Below are 13,412 nucleotides of genomic sequence, written 5' to 3' on the forward strand. Positions count from 1 at the left end.
CTGCCCAGCGAAGAAAGCAAGAGGATGTTCTCTGAGCATAGCAAAGCGCCCTGCAAAGACCTGCAAGACACTCCCAAAAAAACGCTGGCTTTGGAGGTCTATGCACAAAAAAAAAAAAAAAAAAAAAAAAAGTCTAAAAATAAGGCCCCTAAAATGCCTCTTCTTAGGCTCCAAAACAGGGCAATGCTAGATAAGCTCATTCTTGATGCCTTCATGGGTTTAAGCATTCCACAGGGGTCTGTCACCCGTCTCTCTTCTAGAGGGACTTTGCAGAGGCTCCTGCTCCGTTCCTCACACATGCGCACTCACCCAGCGAACACGCCCACCGCCGAGGAGCGTGGAGACACAAAAACGCCTGGAAAAGCCCCATCCGGGTTTCAGGGGGAATTCGAGCCTTCCCCACCCCTGAAGCCTCTGGGGCGTCCCCTCCCAAATGGGAGGATTACAGATTCCATGTTCAGAGCTGGAGAGAGGTGGTCTGGAATACACTGTGCAGGAGACGAGTATTTTTCTCCCTACTGGTGCCTTTCAATTGATACATTTTTTTAAGCTGAGAACTCCTACTGATAGTGCAGAAATGAGTCATAGATCAAGGAAGGAGACAGCCAGGGAGGCAGCGCGTGTGAGTGAGGGACACTGGCAAGGGAACCTGACAGTCCCCGCGCCCCCTCCCCCCATGCCAAGACATTAATTCTCACAAGTCGGAGAAAATTACTATGCATGAATGCAAAAAGCATGATCAGGAGTAATTAACATGGCTTCATATGCAAATTTTATTAATGCAGAAGTACAAAGTCATTATGCAAATGAAACTTACGTCAACTCTCTTGACAAATATTCATCTCTGAGGCTCAAGTTTCTCCCTTTTTATTTATTTATTTATTTATTTTTCTCTCCCCCCTCTCTTTTATCTTGGGCTTCTTTTTTTTTTCTTTTTTCTTTTTTTGGTGGGGGAAGGACAGCGGGGGGAAGGAGGTGGCGCTGGTGGACGCTACAGCGGTGGCAGCAGCAAGCCACAAGGACTGTTTGACAAGTTTGCAAAGTTGTTTTCCAACCAGAGAAATTTATTCTTGCATTGTTGATTTTTTTTTCTTTTTTTTGGTTGTTGGCAGGTACAAGACAGCTCATAGGAGAAGGGGGAAAAAATTAAAAAAATTAAAAAAAAGCTCTGGGCAGCAGGCAGCCAATCAAAACGCCAGAGCCTGTAATGAGGGCGATTGATGGCTGTTTGGCTTTTACTGCAGGGTAATGAACTAGAATCCAGTCTGAGGAGGGGGAAAAATATGAATATTCATGAGACTGTGCTCCTGCCTTTGATGATTAAAGAAATTTTTAATATTCAAATAAGCGCTTGCCAAGTGATTAACAAAGAACAAGCACGCAGAAATATGGAAATGGGAGCCGGGAAAGATTTGAGAGGCGAACGTACTGTGCAGGAAAGGCAGCGCCAAATTTCATAAACAAGATAGGCAGATAACCCAATTCGCACGCGGGCAAATAAAAATATTTTTTTCTGATCACTTAAATATTTTGCCAGCTACTTTGTCTTAAGGATGATAGAAAAAAAATGCTAAGTATTAAGAGCGTGAGGGGGAAAAGAAATAACGTGAAGTCAAATGCCTGGCTCACATTTAAAAATCATTATCCTGATCCTAGCTCATCTCCTCCCACCCCAACGGGAAATTAGGATTCTTTTTCCGGTTTGCTACAGAGGGAAGATGGAGGAGAAGCCAGCACAGACTTGAAACTCCAGTGTGTGAGATTCAGGCCTGCCTGTTCTGGGTAGGCACAGGCATGAACTGTGGTCATCTGGCACTTCTAGGCTGGTCCAGAGGGAACCCTGATGTCTAGAGGGCAGGGGATGTGACGCTGGAGAGCTCAGGCCTCCTGGAGGCTCAGGCCCTGGTCTAAACACAAGGAGAAGATGGTCTTTAGGAGAGCAGGGGGCACCTCTTGAGAAGCTGAAAGGGCTCTGATCTTCAGCACAGGGCCTGGCCCGGGGATCTTCAGGGCCGTGAGGAAAAGCGCCCTCCACCCATCCCAACGGCTCCAAGAGCTGTCTGCTAAGACTGCACGCTCATATTTTAACAGCTCCACCATGGGTTCACATTGAAGCACATAATAACAGTATTAGCTGGTAAAATGATCCTGCAGTTAAAATACATCTAATTAGCAGCCCATGACATCCATTTTGGCAATTTCCTATTTGAAAGAAGTGGAGTGCAACCTTAAATGAGACAGGAACTGGGTGTTCACCTGACAAGACTGGCCTTCTCTCATCATTTGTCTTTCTCTCAATCCCTTTTTTTGGGGGGCTGTGGGGGGTGTAGAGGGGGAGTGGCTGAGACAGCAGGAATAGAGAAGAACAATTCTAGGGAGACTTCTTCGTTTGCTCAATTTCAGAGCTACACAGGTCTTTGGGGTTGAGGGTGACTCAAAAAATAAATTCCTTCACTCCACAGGTATTATTTCATTTCTTTTTTTTTCTTTTTTTTTTTTTTTAGCTTTTAATTACCAAGGTCTAGGAACCAGCAATGACTGGAACTTGTTTTCCATTTCATTGTAAAATATATACCAACAATCATCATCATAAAGCAGAAAGGGAAAGCAAAGCATTTAAGTGAACACGCAGGTTACCATGAAAAGCTGCAAGTCTAGGGTGGGTCCCCAAGGCAGGACCAGAGAGGGAGTGGGTGTGCCACGTGGCTCAGCTCACTGCCCCAGAGCATCTGGGGGACCTAGAAATGCCAGGCAGGGCGATGGAGCTCCCCAGGCCCCACCTCCCACTCCTGGATTCTCATTCTCCATCAGACACCACTGTTTTGTCTGGGCACCCGATGGCCATTACGGGTCTCTAGTCCCTTGTTGCCACGGGTTTTGGCTTGGGGGTGAACATGTAGGTGTCCTTGGAAAGAAGAGCAACGAAAAGGGAAAGTCAGGTCTCACAAGGGTTTGCACAGCTGTGTTTAAAGAGTTCCTTCGGGGTCATTACACGGGAGACATAAAAACAGTTCGAATCTACGTTTGGCCTCTATGTGGGCGGCTAGCTGAAAGACAGCAGTCCTTGCAGGTGGCTGAGGAGGGTAAGAATTCACATGCAGGTGAAAGAGCCTGTCCAGCATCCTTCATCAACCATCTAGGCCCTAATGGATCCAGAGAGGGTCACTGAGGAGTGCCAGGCTGCAGGAAGTGAGGTGGGTTCACCAGGGGCCTCCAGGAACATGGGCAACTGCTCATCTTTGGGTTGAGACCACTTCTACCATCACTTCCACAAACGGCCATCCAGAGATTCCCCACAGGCCACCCACGACCCTGTGTGGCCACCAGGGTATCCACCTGCACCCACCGTGAGAAGGCTTGGCCGTGAGGGAGACTAGAAGCACACCTCAGGGAGCACCCTGAGCCAGGCTGCCCTACTCTAAGCTCCTCCTCTTGGAGCACTTCCGAAATCTCATCCCAGAAAATGGAGAGGCAGAGCCAAGGAATGATCGCGTCCCCCACCGACACTACCAAAACCTTTCTCCTCCTTCCACCAGAGATTGGAAAGGGAACATCCTCCCCAGCAGCTGCCTCTTGCAATTTAGAGGCAGGCACGCTTGGGCACACCCCTTCCCCAGGTCCAAAAGCACCTGTTTCATTGACTGCCAACTCCAATTTCCTCAAGATGCAGGCAGCTGAAATACTCCAGGGCTGCTGATCCCCTTTCTGCACCCTGACCCAAGGACTGGTGAAGTTACATCACAAATTCCAACACCAAGGCCCCTGTGAGGGAGCAGAGGACACTTCAATGTTGATGGGGAGGAAGGGCATCCCTCAGCCATCTTCTGTGAACCACGGAGGTGGAGGGGGCTGGCCGTTCCAGCCCCTAAGTGGGCATTTGCAGGGGGTAGGGGGGCGCAGTGAGGGACACGCAGCTTGGACTCTTCTTTTGCTTGTCTCTCGGGGAAAATCCTGCAGTGTTCCGAACTACTGAAATGCAAATAAACCACAAACACTTGTCCTCCAGCCGGGACGCTGATCATTCCTTTGCTCCTAGGCATCACGGCTTCAGGACACAGATACAAAAATGAATATAACTCCTCTGGGTGACCTCAGGCAGGCAGGGTCCACCAAATTGGGGCCCACCATCCTGGAATGGGCAGGCCTGAGGACAACAGAAGGTGAAGCCATGTGTCGCACTGGTTAGAAAAATGTGTGCATGCACTTCTATTATCTATAAGAGAGGTTCTATATACATATACATATGCATGTGCACATACACACACAAACACTCATCTATCAGCAACGTGGACATGTTAAGATGTCTTGCGCGCATCCAACCAGAGTCCACAGAGGGCAAGGACAAATTGCAACTGAGAGATTCTCCAAATCTCACCAGCAAAATCAGCCAGTCAATACCTAATGGAGGAATTGCCCCTTTTCCTCTCAATTTAGGTTTTCTGATCAGAGGTGTGGTAGCTGCTTCAACCTTCAGCAGTCTCTGTTTTCTAAGACAATTTAATTCAAGATCCTTCAGTAATTTTCTCTCCAGTTGCGTCCAGAGCCACAAACAGTATACTACATGTCATCTGCATGAAGAATAACTCAACGAAGAGTGAAGGCAGGCTGCAAACCGAAGTAAAGTGTTAGATAAATCATCTGGATACCAAGCATAAAGAATGTGGGACTTCGGGTTGGGACCCTGTAGCCCTTTCCCAGATGGAACTTAGGGGCCAGACTCCAATGACAAGCTTGGCCAGGCATCCCTCAGATATGTTCCTATTTCTTCATTAATTTAGAGCTGGGGGTGGGAGTGGAAATACACAGTTAAGATAGAACTCACATGTCACACAAGGCAAAAACCAGGAAACTCATCTTCAGATTGGGTGCCTACAGTGAGTTTTAAACTAAGGACACCTTTTTCTATCCCCTCAGCATCCACTGTGCCTGACCTTTGAGGAATGACCCGGAAAACACTGAATCCTGACACGTGTTAAGAATCTGGCCCTCCCTAAAACATGTTTACAAACTGGGGAGTTCAGGAAGTTGTGGTTCCAAGGTCCCATGAACTCCAATGCTGGCTTTTGCTCAACGGCCATGTACAGACAGTGCAATGGAATAAACAGAAGGAGGAAGGCTGAGCTGCGAGAATCCCGGAGAATTAAGAATGAAAATAAACAGCACAGCCAATAAAAAGAACATAAAGAAAACGGAGTGCCCAGCAAGGAGGTTATTGGGATGACTCAAGCCCGAAGCAGCCAGAAAAGGGAACAGAAATTTCAGGTGCAGATGGAGTCATGGATATGAGGAATGTAAGCATCATCAACCTTTTTAAGATCAGACCATAAAACTCTACCTGAGCCATAAGGGAACAGACAACCACAGGGCCAGCAGGGTTTCTTGTTTCAGATGGAACAGAAATAAATTTGGTTAGTAGAAGGTTAAAAAGAAAGAAAAAAGGAAAGAAAGAAAGGAAGAGAGAGAAAAGAAATCAAATTGTAAAAAGGAGGACCCTGCTATAGTTTAAATGCACATTTTGTTTTGGGTTGCATTTGATAGAATTATAGGCAATTGATTTCTACTATTGTAATAAAAAAAATACAGCTCTCCCCTGGATTTTGTTTATGACTAAATCTCTTTTCTCCCTTTCATTTTTTTTCCTTTTCCTAATGGACTTATAGAAGACCGAGGTTCAGTGCTTTGCATTACATAAGAACAAAATCTTTTCTATGGCCTCTTTATGTTCCTAAGCCAAGTCTGAAATGTCACTGACTAAAAAATTGAACAGGCCTGTAATTACTTTCAACAAAGTAGTTCCTTTAACTGAGTTTTCTGTATGTAGATGGCATTTAATATACATATCGTAAGCCTTCTTTTCAGCACAGGTAACATTTGATGGCAAAAATCACAAATTTTCTTCTAAGGGAGCTGTCTGACAGCCACCTTCTTACTTATTTTTTGACGTGAAATCCGTTTTCATCTCCTAACACACTAGCGGTGACGTGCAGTGCGTGCACAACAAAATGTGTAAAAATTAACACTTCGCGGGACTAATTTAATAAAGATTGTTAGCACATTAACGCTAGGAATATTGCTCCTTACGATTCATCTAGCCACGCGCGAGACGCCGCTGTAACAGAGGTTTACATTCGGCTGAGGTTTATACCGCTATTTAATGTAATTAAAGAAACCGGCAGCGCAGTCCTCAATGGAAATATCATTTCTATTGCAGACTATTCCCATTAGAAATTGGGGGAAATCATAGCACGCTGACTTTGATTTTGTTGTAATTTTTTTTTTTCCTCAGCTGTCTTTGAAACAGAGCTGATGTGCTGGACCTCAGACAGAATTGACTGCAGAAACCCTGCAAAGATCCCGCGATAAGACAAGCCTCTTCTCCCTACAGGAGTGCCCAGTATTTATATGCCACTTACTTGGTTTTGAAACTGTTTTTTTATTATTTTTTTTAAATCTACAGCCTCTGTTTGGCTGTAATTACCCAGGAAGTTCTCTGCCCAGCACCCCATCATGAAATATACCCCAAAACAACATTGTAGATAAGAGCCCAGAGGCGGGGAGGCCTCCGGGGCCACTCTTACACATAAACAATCATAGTGTAGCCAGGATCCCAACGAGCTCCAATTCCAGATCGGGGCGAGAATCTAGCTGTAATCTCAGAGGAAGAAAGCAGCAAGCATCGCTCAGGAGGCCTCAGAGACTAAACAGACACAAAACCCAAAAGAAAAAGAAAAAAAAAAATCTTCGCACCACATCACCAAAATGGCAGAAAAATTAAGTCTTGGGGCTGAGACGAAGGGAACCTGACTCAGCTCCTCCGCCTCTGACAGCTGCCTCCTGCCCTTGGAGCGGCCAAGTGCAAACAAAAATGAGACCTTTCTTCTCTAAACCTGCTTGCTACGTGTCCCTGTGCTGTAGGGGGGACGATGTCGCTTTTTTCCCCCTTCCCTAAGTGCATTTTAATACCCTTATTCTACATCCTAATTTCTTTGAAAAAAACATCAGTGTCACTAAAAAAAACGTCACTCTGTTTTGCAAAATCCAGCAGCTTCCTTGGCAGCGAGAAAGGCTGGCTGGCATTATCCCCTCATTTGACAAAACTACTATTTCTGGGCATGTGGTCAAAAGCAGGTAGGAAGCAAATGCTGAGAAATAAGGAAGTAAAAACAGCCAACAGATTTTTCACTACCGAAGACGCCAAGCGTAAACATGATTTATTTAGCTGTGTTTAACGTGTCTGTCCTCCACTCGACTACAAGCCCACTTGGGTTTAAGGAAAGGGTGGGTAGAAGGGGACAGGAAAAGGGGAGTGGGGAGGACATCAGGGAGAGGGAGCAGGGGCAGGCGGCGCTGAAGGAAGACTTTCTGAGCGGTTCGGTTCAGAGTTTTAGGAGAACAAGAATCCTCTACCCCAAAATACATGCATGTGTCAAAAGAAGGCAGCACTAATCTGCTGGTTAATTAACGAGCTGCCACTAACAAAAGATGGAAGACCCAGTTCATACAGACAATATTTACATGGGCGTTGCATGATCTTGTCCCCCTGCTTCCCTACCTTTTCTCGCAAACCATGTGGGCTGGGTACAGCGACAGGCGGAGAGGCCCGTCAGGTTGGGAGGGTTACGAGTCCAGCCGTGGAGAGGGGAATATCACGGCCTTCCTTGCCCAGCCTTGCATGCCCACGTGGAATTTACTTAGATCTGTATTCAATTAAGAAGCACCAGACAGCTCCTGGCTCCAAGCCTGCACCATCGCAGACTCCAGGTATCTGCCGTTCCCCACTCCAGCCCCAGTGCCAGTGAACAGGGGCTGGGTCAAGGCCCCCATGGGGAAAGGAGAGGACCACACTCTCCCACCCCTACCCCACAACTCCAGCCCAAAGTCTTGGCCCAGCCAGGGTGAACAAACCAAATACATAAAGAAAGCTTCTGTATTTCCTAACTAACAAGACTAATCCAGAGGTTTTGGACCCTGCCAGAGGTTATTTTATGAAAAATCTAATTCAAGTAATCCAGCTTTTGCTGGAAAAAAGAAATCAAGACACTTCCAAAGAAAAGCAACAACCAAAAAGTAAAATGGAGCCCCAATAGGACACTTAGGCCCTCTGGCTTCCCTAGTGAAGGTACCATTTCATAGCAGACAGCTGTGTGCTCCATGGGGATAAGTGCCAATTTTTGTTAGCTCTGAGAGGCGGTGAGAATTTCCTCACTGGTCCGCTTTGAGTTCCTTCCTCACCGGCACCTAGCAAGCCTGTGCATTTAAAGACTGCTTGCTGTATGCATTCCTCCCTAATCCAAGTCTACATGTCCCCTGTCCAGCTCCTCTCCTTCTGGGGCCTGAGACCAAATATCAGGAAAAAATACCTTTTCTAGGGTATTCAGGTCAAGAGCAGCAGTGACACTATTCAGTATCAAGATTCTGAATCATGTGACAGTCCCAACAATAACAAGGAGCTGGGGTGGGGGAACACTCCTCTAAAATGAATGGGGAAGTGGGGGAGTTTCCTATTGGTATCAGGTTACTAAATTGAAAAACCAAGTGCCCCCCTCCCCACATAAACCTCCTCCCAAAGCCCCTAATTCTTCTTCCTTGCAGTAAAAAATTACACCCTCTAGAAGAGGCTATTTGATTCCTTTCCCTTTTGCAAATTAGTCACCCTGCCCCCACGGACTGAACAATAACAGTTCTCCATTTTTATGATGTCTTTGAAATCAGCAATTGCTTCACTCCTACCTATGGGTTTGTTTTCATATCTGGACAGGGACAGGGAAGTAAACAATTGGCTAGCCCCATTTTATAGATGAAGCAACTAACAGATGAACTGGTTTGCCCTGGGCTGTTTAGGAAGTCAATGCATTCGAGACTATCCGACACCACATGCCAACCTCTAGATTCTGCGGCTTTAACAACGACACGGCCCCTGACGCTCCAGCAACAACAAATATTATTGAACCTCTAAGCAGGACTCAGGTGCCACTCTGGAAGCACCCTTGTAGGAAATCCTATACAAAAATCTAGGCTTCTCAAAGCAATAAAATTGAAGATGCTTAACACAGCACCTCCGAAGGAGGCTTCTCCAGGATCCCTTTGGCTACCAATTGCACTGGTATTTCAACATGATCCAGCTGACAGAACCCCCCATTTCCAGGCAAATCTCCCACACATTGCTCCTAAAAAAAAAAAAAAAAAAAAAAAAAAAAAAAAAAGCAAGGAAAGTGCCCTACAGACACATGGCAGGGCTCGGAAGCACACACTGCAGGGCAGCCTACCCTGCCACTCAGGCGCAGAAAGTGTGCCCTGCAAAGACGCCAGAGCACCCTGGGGGCTACCAGTTCTCCTCGAGGAAGATCCTGAACAAGAGCCTTCCACCACACTGTCCAAGCCTTAGCCCAAACATACAGGGAGAAATCACGCGTAATTCTGATCACTGTTGAGCCGTCAAAATAAAGAAAAGGAAAATGAAAAGTCAGCCTCTCCCTCAGTGTACCAGCCAATACTTCAGCCAACCACAGGTTACCTGTCTTTCAAGCAAAACATGAACAATTACCCCCCCCTCACACACACACACACCCCTAGTCTCCAAAAATCCTAAAATGTACATCCCTTTAAATGAACTGCAGAGACCTAGGATGGGGCCCGTCAAACACACACACACATAATTAGCGTTTCATCTTTCTTTCTGTAAAGGAATCCGGTAACATAAATATTAATCAAACACGAGAATCTGCCAGTTCGTTTTGGACCATTATGAGTGCTGGACTGTGATCTTTACCCGTATTTACAGATATTCAAAGGCGGATTCTATCTTGTTAGACCCACTGTTATAAATGGACGTCTGAGAAATCAGCGAGCAAGTTCAGACAGATATGAAAACCTTCCTGTCCAGGACTGGCAGTAGCTTTGAGCTCCCAAGTGTTGAATTTGTTACCTTTTCCGGAGGGCTTGCAAAAAATAAATTGACAAATGCCTTCAGATTCCTCTACCAGAAAAGCTGGCTGCTCAAAGTTCGGGTTAGCTAAATCTGAGATTTTAAAATCAACTCTTACTCAAAACGCCATGACGGTGCCGTTTACACAATACTCGCCTTGAGAGCCCAGCAAGTGTAACATACTATTTCATATTATAAGTATATAGGTATACGCATATTTTTAATACTACCTTGACTCTTGTTATAGCAAATCAATTCTGCCTGGTTTAGATTTATTTCTGAAAAATGGAAAATAGAGATGTGGGTCCAATCCTAGCCTGGAAAAGCTGTCACAGTGAAGGTAAACTTTTAATCGGCTACAGGCGAACAGTATACAGTTTTATTTCCAGAGTAACAGCTTTGGGAAAATGTTTGAACATTTTCTTAAGAGCTTTGTGGTGGACAGGCTGGGCGTCCAACCACTGCTTTTCTGGGCCTTTAAGGGCCTGTTGAAGTGCTTTAAACAATTGGAGGCCAATTTTTAACACACAAAACTAGAGACTCCTAGCAAGGTGACGATTTGCATACAAATTCTTGTTGGAAGAGGTTATCCTAAGAGAAGTCAGGCTGAAAGGAGGACTGACATTAAATCCCTGTAATTCCAGGAGCTTCGGTGTCCCACTCCAGTGGAGGGTTCCATTCCCACACAATTGGGAAAACACTTTTGTCCTTGAGAAAAGCGGGCTTACTCTTCTCCCACTCGGAAAGAAACTAAGGTCCCCACGAAATCCCCACTTTGAGATGGGGCTGTTGCCCCTGGATGATCACATTTTTGTACAAGGGAACTCCCGGAGGCTCCTTCCGTCCCGGCCTCACCTGGATCCCGGGAACCGCCCGCTCTGTCCCGCCAAGGTGGGCTGAGGAAGACGGCGCCACTCATCAGGGCAATGGCGGCGGGCGGAAGAGGGATCCCCGTGCGCCCCCAGCACCCGGGACGAATGCCACCCCGGCGAAGCGACCCGACCGGCGCGCACGGTTTCGGGGAGGGGACCACTTCCACATTCCCCATGCCCGAGAAGGTCACCCACCCGGGAGAGCGCCCAAGGGCCAGAGAGGAGGCGACTGGTGGAGGAGGGGCGGCCCCGTGCGCACAAAGGGGCCCGGGGCCGGCAGGCTCCCCGCCCTTGACCTTGGGTCTCCGCCTCCATCCATCTCCGCCGGCTGCCAGGGAAGGGGGCTGGCCCGGGGCCAGAGGCGTGCTCGCTGGGCTGCTGCTGGGCTGGGGACCGACGGGGGCGGGGGGGAAAGGAGCCGGGAAAAAAGACTCCAGGGCTGCAGAGTGCTCCGAGGAAGCCTGCATTCCACCACCTTCAGGAGCCGGTCCCGAGGCGGCTCCGATTCACTGCATGCCCCCCGCCCCCCAAAGCAAAAGTTGCACGGATGCACGAGGGAAACCCCTTCCCAAAGCTAGCCCTTCGACTCGCCCACCCCCCGCCTTCCTCGGACCCAGGCCGAGTGGGGGAGGGGAGTGTCAGGGGAGGAAGAAAGGAGCGCGCCTTCCCAGCGAGGCCAGACGCGGGCTGGGTCAGCTGCGCCTCCGCCCGCCCCTCGCCGCCCGGCTCAGGCAGCTGCTCCATTAAGCCCCCGAATTATGCATGGACCTTGAGCCCTCTCGGCCCTCCCGCCCCACCAAGGCACAATCAACGTGCGCAGCGGGCGCGGGTCAAAGAGAGAGGGAAGGAGGTGGACGATGGGCGCAAGGCCGTGGGCGAATCAGAGGCCGGCGGCCAGGCGGGGGCCAGGCGCGCCCGCAGGCCTGGGAACAGTGCCGAGGAGCCTCCCGACCCGGCCAGGGCCAGCCGGGAAAGGGGCACCGCTCGCAGGGGAGGCCCCCGCGCAGTTTTGAAGTTGCCAAAGTGTCCGCGCCGTGCCGGGTGCGGGGTCCGGGAGATGCAGCCGCCCCCGCGGAGCTCTGCGCCCCTGGCCTCGGGGAAGGCCATTGTGTTCTCCTGTGTGGCAATGAAGGGGGCTATGGACCCCAACCATTGAGCCCTTGGAGGGAGGGGCCTGAAGACCCCTCGGGCAGGGCGGGGGAGGCTGTCTTGCGGGCGGCGGAGAGGATGGGTATGATTTGCTCGGGATAGGCACCGTCGCGGGGAGGGGAGGAGGCCAAGCTTGAGGAGGGGCTGCTGGAGATGGAAGGAAGTGAGAGGAGACTTGCAAGTTGCAAACGTCGGGGAAACCGGAAAATTGCAGTAGCGGGGAGGCAGGTGGCGCCCAGAGGTTCGAAAGCAGAATTGGGAGGACTTCGATGTCCACCTCGCAGACAGTGACCCAGGCCCCAGAGGGCTCCGCAGCCTGGAGCCTCGCGTCCCGCCTCCCCGCAACACGCTGTTTTCAGCGTTCCAGACCACAGCGCTGCAGTCTACGCTGCCCTGACGCTGGAGTGTGGACCTTGTTTTGCTCCTCGGGGCCCGTCTGTTTCTGGAAATGACTTCTTTCTCTCTTTCCCCTTCTCCCCAAAGCAAAGGCCAGGTCAGGAAAATTATATACTTCGTTTTCCCAACAAATAAAGTCGCCTAGTTTGCAGGGAAAGTTTTACAAGCCAATGATGCAGAGAGAAGACCACACTGTTTAGCTTTCTTAATTGGCTGGCTTTGAACTTGAGGTGGGAGGAGAAAAGAACCCGCTCCAGCCCCAGGAAAACTTAGTTTTGCTGGGTTTACCAACTCCAACAGTTTTTAGCCAGCTGCTGAAGGTGGCAGGGAGTCACTGAAGGTTTGTCCCATTTTCTCCCGAACAGAGAAGAATTCAGACAGTTGTTGTCTCTCTGAGCCCAGGACAGCCAGTCTCTGCCCTCAAACCCCAAGGGAGGAGCCTGGAATCCCTGGTTGGCTGGCTACACTCTCCAGGAGGTGTGCTCTACCCTGAAAAAGGCTTTGAAATAAAGCCACCTTCTCCACTCCTTTCCAGGATGCCTTTGGCACCTGCAGTCATCAGGAGGTAGACGCGTGTTTTCTGGACACTCTTGTGGATTGGACGGATGGCTTCATCTGTGCCATATCACTAGAGGCACAGCCTAGGCACTGGGGCTACCAGCTCCTAGGGCTCTGTGCCTCTGGATTCATCTTCAGCAGACGCTGACCCACGCACCTGTTTGCCTGCACCTTTGAGGTTGTGTCCACACCCGCAACCTGAAGGCCATGGAAGCTGCCCAGGCACTCAGCCCCCAGGGCAGGGGATGGGGGGAAAACAGCCCTGATCAAACATTGCCTTGGCTTAGAGACAGAGCAGGCGGTCCTGGGCTGGGGGGCTCACCCTGCCCTTGGCTGCTGCCTTTTCTCCACACCAGGAGTGGGGGAGTCTGACTTTTCACCTCCAACAAAAAGGCTATTTTGTTACTATTTTTCCGCCCAGAGGAGGCTGTGGTCCCAGTTTCCCAGCTGTCTGAGCAGCGAGGGGCAGATGCTTTCCCAGACCTGTGGCTGATCAAGGGCTCCCTCCTCCC

At 49.2% G+C, this 13,412-nt stretch overlaps 1 protein-coding gene across 6 annotated transcripts in view, besides 2 other annotated features; it reads right to left on the minus strand.

The window, feature by feature from the left end:
• Nucleotides 1–13,412, minus strand: part of BCL11B (BCL11 transcription factor B) — a 102,911-nt gene that overhangs the window by 65,463 nt on the left and 24,036 nt on the right. The window lies entirely within an intron of this gene.
• Nucleotides 2,421–2,945: an enhancer, noted in NCBI's record as "H3K27ac-H3K4me1 hESC enhancer chr14:99703507-99704031 (GRCh37/hg19 assembly coordinates)". NCBI's record gives its function as "activates a minimal SCP1, AML or CMV promoter by ChIP-STARR-seq in primed H9 embryonic stem cells {active_cell/tissue: H9 hESC(primed)}" and the evidence as "EXISTENCE:reporter gene assay evidence [ECO:0000049][PMID:30033119]".
• Nucleotides 12,062–12,958: an enhancer, noted in NCBI's record as "H3K27ac-H3K4me1 hESC enhancer chr14:99713148-99714044 (GRCh37/hg19 assembly coordinates)". NCBI's record gives its function as "activates a minimal SCP1, AML or CMV promoter by ChIP-STARR-seq in naive H9 embryonic stem cells {active_cell/tissue: H9 hESC(naive)}" and the evidence as "EXISTENCE:reporter gene assay evidence [ECO:0000049][PMID:30033119]".

Source organism: Homo sapiens, chromosome 14 (genome assembly GCF_000001405.40).
Source record: "Homo sapiens chromosome 14, GRCh38.p14 Primary Assembly".
Lineage (NCBI taxonomy): Eukaryota > Metazoa > Chordata > Mammalia > Primates > Hominidae > Homo > Homo sapiens.